This window comes from Homo sapiens, chromosome 2, assembly GCF_000001405.40.
Source record: "Homo sapiens chromosome 2, GRCh38.p14 Primary Assembly".
NCBI lineage: Eukaryota > Metazoa > Chordata > Mammalia > Primates > Hominidae > Homo > Homo sapiens.
In genome coordinates this window covers 67,546,004-67,564,251 of record NC_000002.12, presented here as the reverse complement: position 1 = coordinate 67,564,251, position 18,248 = coordinate 67,546,004, and the positions used below count along the sequence as shown (strand labels likewise).

The 18,248-nt window shown below is 40.5% G+C and overlaps 2 long non-coding RNA genes across 6 annotated transcripts in view; one reads left to right on the top strand and one right to left on the bottom strand.

The window, feature by feature from the left end:
- LOC105374786 (uncharacterized) overlaps positions 1-11,440 on the top strand; it is a 98,219-nt gene extending 86,779 nt beyond the window's left edge. For 2 of the 5 annotated variants that reach the window (XR_001739524.2, XR_007086626.1), the window contains 2 exons: positions 337-470; positions 1,223-11,440. This is a non-coding gene — a long non-coding RNA (uncharacterized LOC105374786). The remainder of the gene's footprint in view (positions 1-336; positions 471-1,222) is intronic. The other 3 variants (XR_940218.4, XR_940216.4, XR_940217.4) reach the window with 3 other exon arrangements.
- A 1,177-nt stretch (positions 11,441-12,617) lies between these two features.
- LOC124906017 (uncharacterized) lies at positions 12,618-15,042 on the bottom strand. Its single transcript, XR_007086624.1, has 3 exons — positions 14,986-15,042; positions 13,546-13,629; positions 12,618-12,697 (listed from the first exon to the last, which is right to left on the bottom strand). It is a non-coding gene; the product is annotated as an uncharacterized LOC124906017 (long non-coding RNA).
- Positions 15,043-18,248: the final 3,206 nt, after the last annotated feature.

Sequence of the window (18,248 nt, the reverse complement as noted above, 5' to 3'; positions counted from 1 at the left end):
TTGAGTCATAAAGACCAAAAAGGATGTTGAAAGTTAATTTATTTACCACACTATGGCTTAGACTATTCTAGAAATATGAAAATATCTCCTATTAAAGCAGACTTTCTGAGGAGAAACCATTGCTTTTTCAACTAACGTTTTATCATGTTTTATTGCCTTCATAGTTAACTATTTTTTTAAATCATATCTAACATAAGTCCCTCCAGCAGCATTTTATATCTCTTTTACAATACTTTGCCCTGGATAGTTGAATAATAGTTCATCAAGCCTCATATAACAGTAATTAAATTGTCACCTTGGTGTTTTTCAGACCCAATTCTTGCTAATTCTTTGTAGGTGACATGAATGCTTGTAAATGAGCTTGCTGAATGGGAGACCAAGAACGATGATATTGAGCTGTTACTACATGCCAGACATTTAACCCTTTCATCCAGGTTATCTCAATCATTCCTTACAGAAAGGCTTTTGAGGTAGGTTCAATCATTTCTCGCATTTTATAAGTGGGAAAACTGAGACTCTACGAGAGGTCAATATTTTACACTAGACCCCCACTGTTGGAAGGGGTGGAGCTGAGATGTATTTCCAGTTAATTACACAGATAAGACTGCCCACTTTTTCTATGAATATTTCCAACTATTAGATTGAGTGAACCTTAATTAATCAACATATTATTTTAAAAATAACTTGCTCATGTTCTAATGCCTGTTTGTCACTCAAGTGTTTGCAAAATCAGGGAATAATTTTTTTCTAGACTTTTACTCCTTTTCCAGATATAAGCTCTTAAAAACCTTTGTTTAATCTTTGACTTTAAATCCACAAAACATAATAGCTGGTGAGATACCTAATACCTTTGCTATTTTCTTTGAGGATACAAGTCTTGATATTTATCTCTTTAAGCCAGTAGCTCTCAACCTTGGCTGTGCCTTAGAATCACTTACAGGAGCTTTTAAAGATCCTGATGCTGGACCACACCCAAGGCCAATTAAATTAGGATTGCTGAGGGTGATACCCAGGTGATTACAATGAACATCCCAGGTTGAAACCACTGATTTAAACAACTCTTCCCTGGACTTTCCCGTACCTCCATTTCACCTGGCCTGCTGTGGCTTTCGCTTATCTAGTTAGAACTGTAATTTGGCCAGTTCATCGCTCATTCCCAAAGGGGATCTCATTACCTGTCTCTAATACAGAGTCTGAAAAAGCTAAATATTCTGTCTTCCAGATGTCCTTGCAACTGGAGGTGCCATATGATACAGTTCTGCCCAAAGACAAGAAAGTGAATGTCTGTTGAGGGCTTCCTATAAGGCCAATACATACAGGTGTTCCCAACAACAGGTAAGTCAATTCAGCTGGTTGGATTTTTCACTTTTCATCTGAATGTTTACATGTATCTGAATGTTTCCATAGACATAGACTGAGCGTGTGACTTGAGTCAAAGTTAATTTGAGTAAGAAACCAAGGGAGAATTTTATTTCTTTTTATTGATGCCTCAGTCTCTTTCCATTTTTTCATAGAGACCCAGGAGTCCATGTTAAAAGTGTCCTAAAGAGGAGGTAAAGGCTAAGGAATTTGAGAACCCTAAGATTTTCTTTGAAATTCTGTGGAGATGATGCTAAGAGGATCACTTATAAATGCTTATTGGATGTAATTTCCATGTTGGACAGGTGATATTTCCAGGGAGAAGCTTAAGGGATTGTAGGTAATATAAAGTCTCAAGGTAGAAAACACTGACTCTGAGACTGTGTATTTATAATGTGTGTGTGCATGTGTATGTGTAATTCATTTGCTGATCTTTGTTTAACTTTTTATTAAACTATAATGTATGTGCAGAAAAAAATGCACATATTATAACATAGAGCTTAAAGAATTTTCACAAATGACCATATCTTTGAACCCAATACCCAGGTCACAAAACAGAACATTACCAGAACCCTAAAAACCCTTGTTCTCCCTTCTAATAACTACCTTTTTGGCCAACAATAACTACCAGGCTTCCATTCTTACCTTTTTACAAAACAAACCAATGAGTGGAAGCGCAAGGTCACCCCTTCTCCTGTTTTCACTTGCTCGCGATTGACATGGGGAAGTAAAACCTGTACTATGGCACATTTAATTATGGGAAAATGAAAAGAAAGAAATAAAAACCAGACCAACAAAGCAAAGATTTAAGTTGGCATCGCTTTCCATATCATTGTGATGCCGGCAGACACTCAATAAACATATCAGCATTGTTAAAATGATTTATCAGCCAAATAGTTGAATGTAAAATATTATCAATACAGGTGTCATCATTGATCTTTCTTGGGTCTCACTGCTGAAGAATGGGGCTGTAAGATGATTTCAACAAACAATCCTTGACAGGAAACCAAAGGCAACAAGGCACAGGGACAGACAGCTGACAAATGCAGTATGGGGCCATTAAAGCATGTGATGAATTTGCCAGGAAAGTATATATTTGTGCAAGAGGTGAGCTCATATCTCCCATAAATTTGTCAGCCGTGACACAGTGTTCTCCGGCTTGGCATGAGTAATGCCTTGCTATTTGCGCCTTTGTCTGGCAAAAGCTCTATCAGTCACTCCAGGGTTATTTACAAAGAAACGTGTCTATCAGTTACAAGGACATGACTTTGCTGCTAAAAGATAACAAAAGAAGAAATCAGGCAGTGGCCTCTCAGCGAGGGATGCGTCTTTTCCAGACAAGCTCTGGACTGGAATGAATCAGATGGACGGCAATTGGCCGGGCTGGCCCAGTGCCTGGCATGACCAGCCTTAGTGCATTTATCCACACTGATTAGATTAGAAATTATTAATAGGGGGCTACGGAGTAGAGCAAAAGGTCATTTAGAGTTTAATTCTGTTCTCAGATAACTTCATTTCGGCTGATGGGATTGTTATTGTAGGGGTTTTATATGTTTATAGGAAACAATATACTCAATAATGAAGTCCTGCCTCCTTCTGCAAGGTCAGGAAAGCTATTGTGTAGCTAGATTGAAGTCTTCACAATTGTGTTAATTAAGTAACAGTGATTGGACTTGGTCTTCTCTTGAAATGCATTTAAGAGCCTAAAAGCTGCTGAGAATGTATTCTTTCAATATAAATATATAGTAAAGCAAGTGAGACCAGAAAGCAGCTGACGATTGAGTAAACAGAAGAGCTGACATGAAGCTTTTACTTAAGACAGGAGCCTGGTTGGCAGATGTAACTTCTTGCCACATAAATACAAATGTCTTGTCAGTTTATGATTAAACATAACAGGTCCCTTTTTCTTACTCAATTCCTGATGAATCTGAAAGATAAAGCTGTAGAAAGTATAGTTGATGGTCTCATCAGTTACTTTGTTGCCTTGCAGGCCTGCCCATTTGAGGCAGATGATCAGAGTACGGTAAGAGGCATGTCCTTCTCAGATTAAAGGGCCATAGCCTTGGTCTTGGCTCATAGTCCAGGGTCATTCTGGAGAGGGAACCCAGCTTTGTCCCCTCCTTTGGAGGGCTTATAACTCAGATATTAACATTTGCTGAAGATGGTTGTAATTTTTTTTGTTCTGAGGTACAAGATCTCTTCTAAATAGCTAAAAAAGAATTTAGTTGATTCTAAGTGAAAAGTGAGTTCATGGAAAGCACTTTGTTGCCATGTGTTTCTTAAAGACCACAGAAGACTTTTGGGCTCCAGTTAAGCAAGTCCCCTTCGATTTGGCTCCAGATGCAGTGATACCCCACGAAGGGGAAGTTTAAAGTGAAACTTGGCAACTGGTGATTGAGTCTTATCTTCCCAACTCTCCTCCAACGCCCCCACCCACACATATAAGAGAACCACCATCCAAAGACAGAACTTAGGAGAGTTGTTGAATTGAAATGATAGTTTCATTGATGTAAGTTTTGTAAAATACCTTTAAGGCAGAGATTCTCAAATGGAAGTGATTTTGTCCCCCAAGGGACATTTGACAATGTCTGGAGACATTGGGGTTGTAACAACTAGGAGTGGATGATTGCTACCGGCATCTAGTGAGTGGAGCCAGAGATGCTGGTAAACATTCTGAAATACCTGCCCCCTACATAGAACAAACAGTCATCCAGGCCAAAATGTCAATAGTGTGAAGGTTGAGGAACCCTGCTCTCAAGAACCTTTGAATCAATGAAGGATGAGGAGTTGGGAGAGGTTACTCTCTCTAGGGAATGGGTTACCATACAGAATTTCTACTTAGAAAAAAAATCTATAATTATGACATTATAAATAATCATACTAGAATTTGGAAAAATTTCTTATAAAATGTGCTTGGCCAGGCACGGTGGCTCACACCGGTAATTCCAGCACTTTGGGAGGCTGAGGCAGGCAGATCACGAGGTCAGATCGAGACCATCCTGGCTAACATGGTGAAACCCCATCTCTACTAAAAATACAAAAAATTAGCCAGGCGTGGTGGCGGGCGCCTGTAGTCACAGCTACTCGGGAGGCTGAGGCAGGAGAATGGTGTGAACCCAGGAGGCGGAGCTTGCAGTGAGCCAAGATTGTGCCACTGCACTCCAGCCTGGGCAAAAGAGTGAGACTCTGTCTCAAAAAAAATAAAAATAAAATAAATAAATAAATAAATAAATAAAATGTGCTCATTTCAATGAAAACTTGGGAGATAGAAAAAATTGCTTTTTTTGTGCCACATGATTTTAGAGTTATTTGCTACATGTGCTGCATGATTTTAGAGTTATTGTGGTGTGATGAAATGTCAAGACTCAAAAGCTTTGTACGAATATGCATGAGGTGGCATGAAGTACTGGAAGGAAGACTAAACTGAGATCCCATATATCTAAATGCAACCTTGTCATTGATGAAACATGAGCCTGGTCAAGTTCTTTAACCCGTGTAGGCCTCAGTTACTGTTTCTGGCCAGACACTGAGACTGAGAAGCTTGACATCACTACTTGGCTATTCCTTCCTCAACCACAGTCATAGCCAGGACAAGGATTTCTCCTTATTTCTGAACCTAACAGTCATCCCTTCCTTTACATTACCAGTGGCCTGACTTTAGTTTGGGTCTTTGTTGCTTCATGTCTGGACTGTTGTAGTGGTTTCCTAGCCGATGGTTTACTCTTGGACATATGCTATGAAATGCTGCCATTTTGTCTGTTTAAATCATTACTTTTTTCATGTCACTCCTTTCAAATTCTTCAGTGGCTTCCCGTTGCCTCTAACAGTTACTCTTGGTGTGACACCCCCATCCCTCCCTGATAAGCCTAAGAATGCTTTTCTATCTTTGTCCCAGGTGTTTGCCCTACTTGGGTCTTTGCTGTCTCAATCATGTTAATGCACTTACTACCTTCTTCATAATGGCATATCCTAGAATGAAAGTCTTATCGCTCAGCATTTGTTCAGAAGCACCCTCCTTCCTGGAACGTTCCCTCTCTATTGTTCTCTCTTATCCTTCTTTCAAATCTGAAATCCAGAGCATCTCAAGAAAGCTTAATGAGATTTCCAGTAATATCTCTGTCCTCTAAGTTCCTATGTACTTATGATTGTCTGAGCAGTATGCATAGTACTTACTGTATTTGACTTTGTATAAAATTTTTCTTCTCCCTTCATTTACATCTTTCATCCCTTCTCAACTAAGAGAAAAGAGTCCACCACACTGAGTAGGCTTTACAGGATCTAATAGGGGGTTCAATGGGAAAGGTAAATAAATGTTTTATACCATCTTCTGGGTTTCTTGCACATTCATGATTGGCTAAAACTAAGACATTTTGGGAGAGAATTGTAGCAATGTATTCACACACATAAATTAAAACGTAAAGTCTTTCAATAGGCTGTAAGCCTCATCGTGAGAGTCACAATGCCCAAGGCACCTTGTGTCCTCTTGGCTTTGATGTAAAAGATGTCCAAAGAAGGCTTAGGTGGATGATTTTATTCCGTACATGCTTTTCTATGTCAAAATTATCAGTGAAATAAAAGTAGTATCCAGGATTGGGGGACTTTCGGTTACTACAGAAAGCACTTTGCATTTAAAAAAATATTTTACTAGCATAATTTTTTTGTTATTTTTGAGAGAAACATCTCTGTTGAAATGTGTCTCTTGTAATCCAAAAGTGAAAGTTTTCTTTGAAGGTCTCAGTTGACTCTTGTAACACATTCCAAAGACAATGGATTCCACTAGACTCCTAAACTTAAACAAAATGATCGAATTTTGACATGGAGTTGGAGAAAGTGATCCATATTGCTTAGTGTTTTGGGAGGGTGCTTTTTGTTGTTTGTTTGTTTTTCTTTAGAAAGCTGTCTGGGATATAGATATAATGTGTGATTTTATGCCACACCAGCATCAAAGTGTTCTTTTCATCTTTCCTTTTGACTTAAGCGTACTCATGATTAATGTATGCCAATAGATTTTAAAGATGCAGCCATCTGCCTTGCCTTACCTGTAAGAGTTTGTTTGTTCTTACCTCCTTTGTAGGTTCCCAAAGTTTTATACATCCTTTATGTATAAAAAGGATGGCATGGCTGTCTATATACTGCAATATTCACGTCAGGATTTCCAAGTCTTTGTTACGACATAGGTTTTTTTTTTTTTTTAAACTGGAGTCACCAACATGATTGCTAAAGTTAGATACACTTCTTTATTATTACCTGACTTGTTTTGTTTTTAATCTATGCATTTGCTAATGTTACTCCCTTTGACTAGACTGCTTCCCTTTTAAAAGGACAATATAGCTAAATGCAATGTTTCTTAAAGTGTGGTCCCTGGACCCGCAACATCGGCATCATATGAGAACCTGTTAGAAAGGCAAACTCCCGTCTTACTTATTGAATTAAAAACTCTAGGGCTGGATTTTAACAAGCCCTCCAGAGCTTCTGATGGAAGAATAAGACAGAGAACCACTGGCTTTATTGTTCACACTGTGGCCTCTAGGGCAGGCTGCTTGAATTCAGATATTTAACCTTCAAGTCACTTAACTTTCCTGTGCCTCGGTTTCCTTCATCTATGAATGGAATAATAATAGTACTATCCATATAGAGTTTTGGTGAAATTAGACTGAGATAATACATTTTAAAAATTTAGTAAGTCCTGGCACCTGGGGAGTACTTATAAACTTTAGCTGTTTTTTTCAATTTTTTTTCCATTCTCTAGGCTTACAGCACTTCTTCCTCTTGATCATCTTTCCAATTCTTGATGGGCTGACCCCTTCCCCTGTCTTGAACATCCCTGACACCTCTCCTGATGTTGTCAATGCAGGGAGAAGGGTGCATATATTTTTCTGTAGTCAAATACTGAGGTTTCCCCTCATTAACTTATTTTTTTCTTGAAAACCTGTACTTAATGAGGAACAAACAAAGAGGCAGAATACAATGCACTTATTTTTTTCTTAGGTCTGGTTTCTATTTAAAATTTAATCTAATTTTTTAAGGTCCAACTGTTTTTTTTAGGCCTTGGGAATATGAACCGTACTTGTTTAGGCCTTGGGAATGTGAGTCTGTACTAGCATAATTGATATGAGGATGGATGGTTGGGGGGTGTTTTCTGCCTGTCTTCAATGATGAATCCTTCTTGTTTGTTCTAGATGCTTCTGGACTTGTTATCCTGTGTCATTTCTACCTGGTGCCAGTTTTTGACAAATGATAGTAGCAAGTTGTGGTATGCTACCTCAGGTTCCTATTTTCCCTGAGTGCTTGGATGTAATAATTTTAGAGACAGCCAAATGGTTAATGAGTCTTGCCCTCAGGAGCTCAGCACAGAGGGAATCCTCACTAGCCTATCAGATGCCTCCTTGGAAAATGGTGAAAGTGTGAGAGAGCAAGATGAATGGACATTTGTATATCACATTCTTTGAGAATTGAATAGGGGATTTATGGTGTTCCCTGACTTGACACACTTCACACTTGTCATGTTGGCACATTGCATTATACTCTGCTGCCCATGGGGCTTTTGATGATGTTTCAGAAACAGGTAATAGATGTTTCTGTGCTGTATCCATGCATTTGCAGAGAAAGATCCAATATTAAAAACAAAGGTACAGTAGAATCCATCGCTATCAACCAAACACAAAAGCCTACCTCTGCTCTCTGCTGTCTCGTTAGTCTCAATTCCTTACCCGACATATATAGCCCTTCTCCAACTAGATATGGTCCCCCTGAAATAACAGCATAGCCCATAATCAGTGCTGTTGTTTTATGCACGGTTTAACATTGATTTGGGAGTGGCGCAATTGGTGACCACTGTTCTGGCAGCACAGTGCAGTAGAAAGAACACTGGATTAAGTATCATGAGCTCTTCATGTTAACCGGGGACCTCCTGGGTGTGAGCTTGGATGAATCTCCAATGGCCGTGGCCTAGTTGCCTCGTGGAACACCGGTGCACAGAAACTCCTGACCAGCCTCCCTCCCAGGAGGAAGACATTAGAACTTGTTCTGAAAAGTATACTTTTCATACTTTTTTGATTTGCTAAGTATGGAAGTGAGAGAAAACCACCTAATTGACTATTCGTGAGGCAGTTGGAATACAAATGTATTTACCCTCAATTTTACAGAAAGAGAAACAGGGCCTTTAAAATGGTGAGGAAGTTTTTTCAAGGAACACTGTAAGTGATAGCCAAAGAAGGTCTTGACTTCTGTCTTCTGCTTACTAGTTGAGGTTCCCTGAGATTTCTATATCTGCCTTAAACCCACACCCCTTAGTCCTTACTGCCACCACAGGCCTGGGCAGTAAGGAATCAGCAACAGCTATGCTGCGGTCAGGGTAAGAGGTCTTTTGCTCATCTTTTGGGTGAAATTCTGCAGCAATCCTTGAAAAAGAAGGCTGCAATAATAGCTGTTACTAAATTTTCTAATAGCCAGGCAAAAAAGAGGCCACAGATGCATTTAGTTTTATGTAAAAATGTTTTAAATGAAGATTTCTTTTACAACTGAGTTTATGAATGGAGAGTCTAACTGGTTGCATATAAATAGTGAGCACTATATGTTTACCACCTTCTGTGAAATTAGGACAGTATTTGTAGATCTTTTTCATATGTACCCTCTCTTCACCAATAGAGCATCAGAAAGAGAAGAAACTTTAATTTTTCATTCTCTGTCATCTTCTCAAATTCCAGAGGTCAATGCTCATTAGATATAGACTTATCAACTTCAAGTGAAAACAGGTTGAAAACATCTAGAATAAAATAAAGAGAAGATTTCTGAGCCTCATAGTCTCTCATCGCATCTCCCAAGTAAATTAGGATCCCTTTAAGACATTATCTGTCAGGATTAACTACACATATTCCCCAACTTCAATATTCCTGCTGCTATTTAGGGCTTTTGTAGGGCTGCTTAAGGTTCTTATTTAAGCCCTAATGTTAAATCCCGTGATGCTGGAGTTGCTGACAGCTCTGCCTCTGTGTCATGTGCTTTAAGCATGCAGTCTAGCATCTTTTCTTTCCTATTCATGCCACCGGGGTAATACAGTTTCCCCAGTATCCTCCTGAAAAGATCTTGAATCAAGAGGTAAGTCCTGAAAAACATGCAATGGATCATCAAAAGAAGCCGTAGTGGTGAAGAGAGGACTGTGAATTGCAGAGTGACCAATATCTAAGTCTCAGTCAAGTAAGCACTCTAGTTAAGTTATACTGTTGAGTTCATAAGAAGGGTGCATGCTATGTGTAACAGCATAGCATAGTTCTATGTATGTAAGTCATAATTATTTAATTTTTGTGTTCACCCTGACCTTGCTTTTGTATTAATTAGCTATTACTGTGAAACAGATTATGCCAAAATTTAGCAGCTTAAAATGATACACATTTATGATCTCATAGTTTCTGTGGTTCAGGAATCCAGGCACAGCTTAGCTGGGTCTTTTGCATTATAGTTTTTTACAAGCTTGCAATCAAGGCTTTAGTCTAGGGGTTGCATTCTCATCTGAAGCCAGGATTGGGAAAGGATGTGTACCCAAAGCCACTCTCATGGTTGATGGTAGGACTCAGTTCCTCTACGGGCATTGTACTGAGGGCTTCAGTTCCTTGCCAGCTATTGACTGCAGGCCACCCTCCATTATTTGCTGTGTGACCGCTCTAACATGGCAGCTTCCTTCATCCAAATGGGCAAACTCTGAAGACTGCTATAGAATGAATGTTTGTTTTCCCCAAATGCATGTGTTGAAAACCCAATCCCCAATGTGATAGTATTAGGAGGTAAGGCCTTTGGCAGGTGATTAGGTAATGAGGGAGGGAGGAGCCCTCATGAATGGGATTAATGCCCTTATTAAAAGGACCCCAGTGAGGTGTTTCTTTCTTCTGCCATGTTAGGACACAGCAAGAAGATGGCTGTCTATGAACCTGAATATGTCTAGCCCTCACCAGACACTGAATCTGAGAGAACCTTGATCTTGGATTTCCAGCCTCCAGAGTTGTGAGAGCTAAATTTCTGTTGTTTGTAAACCACCCAGTCTATGGTATTCTGTTACAGCAGCCTGAACAGGCTAATATAAAGACAATAAGGAGAATTTGCTAGCAAGATGGAAGCCACAATCTTTTGTAACCTAATCACAGAAGTGACAGCCTATCACTTTTGCCTTATTGTGTTTATTAGAAGCAAGTCACTAGGTCTAGCCTACCCTCAGGGGAAAGAAATTCCACCAGGGCACAAATGCCAGGAGATGGGTATCAGTGGAGACCATCTGAGAAGTCTGCCTACTAAGGCTTTCCATGTCTACCTCCGAACAAGGGAATCTATCATGATTATTGCATGTGCCCTGAGCACTGGGTTTAGATGACATTAAGCAGAATCAAGGTAATTGTTCAGGAAACCTTCAGCGGGAGAGTCTGCCCTGTGTCTAGTTTCTCTTTTGCTTCAGAAAATACTTACTTGAATTGTTTCTAACTTAATAATACTTTGTGTTACCTGAGGGTCTCTAAAGGCTTGGTAAGCATCAGAACAAAAAATTTCTTCTCCACTTTCTAGGAGTTCTTAGATCATTATTTTGCTGGTACAGTAACTGGCTCTCCTAATCCACTGTGAAGCTTGCTTATTTACTGTGCGGATGGTTTGGACCATCAAAAGTGTAGAGTTAAAATAACCAGGGGAGAGAATATTAGACCCAGAATCAAAGTAGCCTAAAGTTACCTCTTTAGGTACCTTGTTTCTCCCATGTGCAAACTGTAAGCTCAAGTGTCTTTTCTCAGGTGGTCACAATGTAGTTTGAGACTAGAGGGATTGTGGATGAAGATGCTCTGAGTTATTTAGAAGAGATGCACTACATCAGTAATGGATGGTTGTTATTTGATTAAAATGGCTAATTTTAAAATCTTCATTTTCTCTCAGTTATATTGCTCCTATGTTATGTCAAACACTGCTCATGTCTTGCCTTGTTCCCCTCTCCCTCTGTTCTGCATGCTACAGCTGTAATAGTGTTTATGAGATGCTAAACTGACCATATCACTCCTCTACTAAAACTTTACAATGATATGCAAAGGTCATCATACTAGAGTGTCAAGTGAACAAAGCAGAGAGTTATATACACATATTGCTTTTTTTTTTTTTTTTTTTTTGAGACGGAGTCTGGCTCCGTGCCCAGGCTGGAGTGCAGTGACGCGATCTCGGCTCACCACAACCTCCGCCTCCCTGGTTCAAGCGATTCTCCTGCCTCAGCCTCCCAAGGAGTTGGGACTACAGGTGTGTGCCACCACGCCCAGCTAATTTTTGTATTTTTAGTAGAGACAGGGTTTCACCATTTTGGCCAGCATGGTCTCAATCACTTGACCTTGTGATCTGCCTGCCTTGGCCTCCCAAAGTGCATATTTAATAAATAAATAATAAATAAATAATTACGGTGCTTTATATATATAAGCAATATGTATTAATTATATATTAAATATATAAAGCATATAATACATATAATATAATATATAATATATAAAGCATATATATATTATAAAGCATATTTTCCAAAGGAGACTCAAGAAATTTGTATTAGTGGTTCCCACGGCTAAGTGAAAGAATAGATAAAGACTCTCTTTTAAACTGTAAACCTTTAGTACTTTCAAATTTTATGCCATGTGACTACACAACTGAATTAAAAACAAAACCAAACAAAACTCTTCTATGGCCCTGAATACCTTTAGGAGAAATTCAAATTCCTAACCTGGAAGACTCTCGCAATAGGATCCTTTGCCCACTTTACATAATTTTCTGCTGCTCACTATCCCGCAACCCCTTCCCTATATTCACCTTAAGGGAAGTATGCTTTTCTGCTGCCGTGTACTGCTTTCTCTGCAGCAGACCTACTGAGCCAGGTGCAGGCCCCACACGTGACACCTTCTTGTCGCTGCACTTTGGGCTTTACTATTCCTTCTTCTTGGCATGACTTTTCACCACTCTTCACCCAGTTAAGTCATCCTCCAGGAAGCTCTTTCTGATTCCCCCACTATACCATGTGCCATTTCTTTGTACACATTTTGATTGCAGCATATACTGCATTATATTCACAGCAGGTACCAGGCTCAAGCTACAAACTCAGGGATGCAAGAACTGTGCATTTTAATTTTTTTCTGCAACTAAGCTTATCTAGCATAACTTTTGTCTTAGGTGAAGTTCCCCACAAACAGATGCTGAGATGAGGATTTGTGTGGAAGCAATTTATTAAGGAAGTACTCCAGGAGAAACTGAGGGGCATTGGAGAGCAGGAGAGTAAGGAGAAGACATCAGGCAAGGGTACAGTTTCAGACAAAGTCCTCCTGATTTCAGCCTGATCCTGCGGGGAAACGTATTATACAGTAAACTCATAATCCTGGTTCAGTTTTTATTGTCTGTCTCCCTTTTTATAAGCTCCACGAGGGCAGGAATCTTTTTCTACTTGCTCATGGATATAATCTAAGCAATTACAACAGTGCCTACTAACAGAAATCACTAACTATTATCTTTATTAAGTGAATTAATAAACTGCAACCTTCTCCTTGTTGCTTCTCCTTGAGAATATGCCTTCTCCTTGAGAAGCATATTCATTTGCTCACCCTAACAAATTATGGGCGTCTACTATATTTTCAGCTCTAGGCTCTGAGAATAGAATAATGAACAAAACAGTTAGTATCCCTGCCCTCATGGAGCTTGTAATGGGGAATATGGGAAGCATTTGGCTTCTCACTGGAACACAGTGGGTGCAGACAAAATCTGCAAGAATATGGCAGCCACTCTGCATAGATACCTTTACATCCTTCTCTACTGAATCCATCCTAACCTGGGTGCAAAGTTTACAAGAAGTCTACCACCTCCCCGGTCTTTTCCTTGGTGATTTCATTCAACCTCATGCTTTAAAATACCAGCTACATGATGATGATGCCAAATTCATTTCTCCTGCTCAGAATTCTCTCCTAAATGCCAATTGTCCAGGAAATAAGGTGCAGTTCCTTTGCCATTGGATCTTTCCAAAGTGTCTGTCACAGGAACTTAAACCAGCCTCCAATTCTTTTCCTTTTTCTCTTAATCTCCTTCTTCTCCTCCTGTATCATTGAGAGGGGTGGTTGTGGGGGCAGGAGGAGGAGGAGGACTGAGCTGGACTTGGCATCATCCTGAATTATTCCAAACCTATTGTTTATGTCATACCTTCTAGGCCCTAGGTCCTGCTGACTCTGGATTTGGTCTTCAAAAAGCGTCTCTTCTGCTTTTCTGCTTTAACAATCCTAATAACTAATTTAAGGAGGAAGAGGGCCATGGAGTAAAAAGGAAATTACAGAGAATGAAGAGAAAATCAGCTATTATATCTAAACATGATCCCACATTATATTGAAATTAGCTGTTTAAGGGTCTCTTTCTATTACATTTAAGCACTTTGGGAGCAGGAGCTATGCCTATTCATCTTTGTAACATCTGTAGTTGGTACAATCCTTACTCACCATAAATGCACTGGTTGGACTGAACCAAAGATACTTGAAAACTCTGCAACTTTATACCCTTTTTTCTAGCAAAAAAAGGCAGTATGTATTCTTAGTTAAGAGCATGGACCCTAAATGCAGTCTATGTGGGTTAAAATTCTGGTTCTCTCCCTTATTAGCAGTTTGACCCTGACCAAATTACTTACTCTGTTCCTGCCCCACTTTCCTTATGTACAAAATAAGAACATGGATGTTATTCCTTCTGTAATATTGTTCTTGTAAAGTTAAATAGGTTAATACTTGTAAAGTGCTCAGGTGAGCTTTGGTACAGACTGTATATATGTGTTAGCTGGAAGAAAAAGCATATTCCTTCTTCTTAAAACTCCCCTGTCTTTGTCAACCTGGTTAAGTGTGCTTTCCTATCTTCTTCAAGTTTCCTTTGGAAAGATTTTTTATGCTGTCTCCCCCAGAAAGTATCCCTTTCCTCAGGTTGAGTATTGTTCATTTATGTTCCTTCTCTTAGCCATCTGTTCTCCCACCTTTTATAGAACACGTCTGGCCGGGCACGGTGGCTCATGCCTGTAATCCCAGCACTTTGGGAGGCCAAGGCGGGTGGATCACCTGAGGTCAGGAGTTTGAGACCAGTCTGGCCAACATGGCAAAACACCATCTCTACTAAAAATACAAAAAAGCTAGCCAGGAGTGGTGGTGGGCACCTGTAATCCCAGCTACTCAGGGGGCTGAGGCAGGAGAATGTCTTGAACCCAGCAGGCGGAGGTTGCAGTGAGCCAAGATCACGCCACTGCACTCCAGCCTTGGCAACAGAACGAGACTCCATCTCAAAAATAAATAAAATAAAATAAAATAAAATAAAATAAAATATAAAACACATTCTATTGTATTCTGAAGGGGATAGTGCTACATTTCCTTAGAACTGGCCTATAATCTCTTACTTATCTTTACATCCTCAGAACTTATCACCGTACGTGGCACAAAATAGATAACAAAGAAATACTAAATCTCCTTCTACTTCCTTCCTGCCAAGTTTAACTCAACATCCAGGGACAAATCTGTACCATAGTGAGTAAAGATTCATCTGCTGTAATTACTACTCTCAAAACTAGCTTGAAGGCACAGCCACCCTTGCACCCAATGCCTACATTTTCCATACCTGGGATCAGTCTTGCCCACAATGAATGGGATTTGTAGTCACTTCAATAAGCTCAGAGAATGTGGCTCAGTGGGGCAGAATGCCTTTGCAGGAGATATATGTGCTGTTGCCCTCTTTGAACTGTATTATAGAATGATTCATCTTCCATGAGCCACATAACCTCCAATCAGGGTTCCCATCCACCCTCATCTTTCATTCCTTCTTCAGTTGCCCATTTTTTCTCCCCTCTTCCTGTTTCATCTGTCTCACCTCCTGTGATGCCTGTGCAGGCATACAGACACGCACACACACCTTTGATCCTGCTGACATCAATGGCACTAAGGAAAGAAGTTCAATATGTCCACTGGCGTCAAAACATAGTAATAACAATCCTTCAAAATGACAATCACAGGCAGCCTAGGGGCATTCAGGGGCTCTTCTGCTTTGTGCTTGCTGGCGTCTTTAGTGTTTTTCTTTGGTGTTTAAAAGCACAGATAACTGTAGTTTGCTCTACCTGAGAGGTGCTAGTTTGCTGGCATTCAACAAACAGACAGTTATGGCCCTCCTGTGGTGAGGAAAAGGCAGAGTAGGGGGTTGTTTTGTGCCCCATCTCAGATTCCAGCAGAGCAGGATCTCCCGTTTGCAACCAGTTACTCAGCTGCATTCATGTTTGTTATTGTGTTGACAAGGAAAAAGGTACCATTTCTGGCAGCACCTCTTAGCTTCCTGAGCTGCCTCAGGCACTTAGACAATGCAGGAGGCACACACTGACTTGATTGCTACCTGACACCTCTTCTGCTTATCTAAGCCCAAAGTACCCGCTGGGGGTCCAAAAAGCAACATCCTAACTAGGCAGCTGTTCACCAGATCTCCCTCTACCTTCCTGTAGCTTCTGCTACACCCTTCCTGCCCAGTATAATCCAACATCCAGGGACAATGAAACAGACTTCCCTTTGACTCCTAAGACAAGCCATGTCCACTTTCCCTAGTAGAGAACCAAGGTAGACACTGTTGATGCTCTTTTGTGTTTATTTTTTCTGATTTTCTCTTCTTTGTCAGCAGGAGCAAAGCAAACCTCAAACCTCAAAATTGAATACCACTTTGAGCCACAAGAAGCTGGACTTTTCTAACTCTGATTCGAAATTTAATGTTCTGTTGATGGCAGACATCTAAATTGTTGTCTGATTCCTTTAACCAGCCACCTCACCTACCAACCAGAAAGCTTCATTTTCTAATGAAGCTTTTCTTAGGGATCCATCAACTATGTTAAATCAACATTCAGTGATTTATAAATGAATGAAACACATACAGATTAGCTGTTCTTCTGAAAACACACTGGAGGTACAACACTGGCAAAAATATTCTTGATTTAGTGTTGTTAAGGGCACTAGAAACACAGATTGTCATATCTAAAGATGGGACATTTCTAGATGCACTGCCATATAACTGGCACAATTGTGTTAAATGCCATTAGTCCCCCTTGTTCTTTTGATGGAATGTGGAAATGATACTAGTTTCTGTGTATTTTCATCACATTTCCAAAGACGAGCATTTGACCATCTTCTTTTGTAGTAACCAGAGAGAGGAAGAAGGAAAAAAAGTAAGAATATGAGTTTAGAAGTTATGAAACTCAGCATCCGTATACTTTAGAATTTTTTTAAATTTTGTATGAAAACATACTAATATGGTTTGGCTGTGTCCCCATCCAAATCTCATCCTGAATTGTAGCTTCCATAATTACCAAGTGTCATGGAAGGGACCTGGTGGGAGGTAACTGAATCATGGGGGTGGGTTTTTCCCATGCTGTTCTCATGATAGTGAATAAGTTTCCCACGATCTGATGGTTTTACAAAGGGGAGAGCCCCTGCACATGCTCTCTTGCCAGCTGAAATGTAAGATGTGACTTTGCTTCTCCTTTACTTTCCACCATCATTATGAGGCCTCCCCAGCCATGTGGAACTGCGAGTCCATTAAACCTCTCTCCTTTATAAATTACCCAGTGTCGGGTGTGTCTTTATTAGCAGTGTGAAAACAAACTAATACAGTAAATTGGTACTGGGTGTGGGGTGCTGCTGTAAAGATATCAAAAATGTGGAAGTGACCTTGGAACTAGGTAACAGGCAGAGGTTGGAACAGTTTGGAGGGCACAGAAGACAGGAAGATGCGGAAAAGTTTGGGACTTCCTAGAGACTTGTTGAATGGTTTTGACCAAAATGCTGATAGTGATATGGACAATAAAGTCCAGGCTAAGCTGGTCTCAGATGGAAATGAGGAACTTGTTGGGAACTGGAGCAAAGGTGACTCTTGTTATGCTTTAGCAAAGAGACTGGCAGCATTTTGTCCCTGCCCTAGAGATCTGTGGAACTTTGAACTTGAGAGAGATGATTTGGAGTATCTGGTAGAAGAAATTTCTAAGTGGCAAAGACGTCACCGAGCATAAAAGTTTGGGAAATTTGCAGCCTGATGATGCAGTAGAAAAGAAAAACCCATTTTCTGGGGAGAAATTCAAGCTGGCTGCAGAAATTTGCATAAGTAATGAGGAGCCAAATGCTAATCACCAAGACCTTGAGAAACATGTCTCCAGGGCATGTCAGAGACCTTCATGACAACCCATTCCATCACAGATCTGGAGGCCTAGGAGGGAAAAATGGTTTTGTGGGCTGGGCCCAGGGCCCCTCTGCCCTATGCAGCCTACAAACATGGTGCCCTGCATTCCAGCTGTTTCAGCTCCACCTGTGGCTAAATGAGGCCAATGTACAGTTCAGGCCATTATTTTAGAGGGTGCAAGTCCAAAGCCTTGGCAGCTTCCATATGGTGTTGGGCCTGTGTGTACACAGAAGTCAAGAATTAATGTTTGGGAACCTCCACCTAGATTTCAGAAGATGTATGGAAATGCCTGGATGTCTAAGCACAAGTTTGCTACAGGGTTGGGGCCCTCATGGAGAACCTCTGCTAGGGCAGAGTGGAAGGGAAATGTGGGGTTGGAGCCCCCACACAGAGTCCACTATGGAGCACTGCCTAGTGGAGCTGTGAAAAGAGAGCTACCATCCTCCAGACTCCAGAATGGTAGATCCACCAACAGCTTGCATCATGTGCCTGGAAAAGCCACAGACACTAAATGCCAGCCTGTGAAAGCAGGCAAAAGGGGAGCTGTACCCTGCAAAGCCACAGGGAGGGGAGATGCCCAAGGCTGTGGGAACCCAGCTCATGTATCAGCATTGCCTGGATGTGAAACATGGAGTCAAAGGAGATCATTTTGGAACTTTAAGGTTTAATGACTGCCC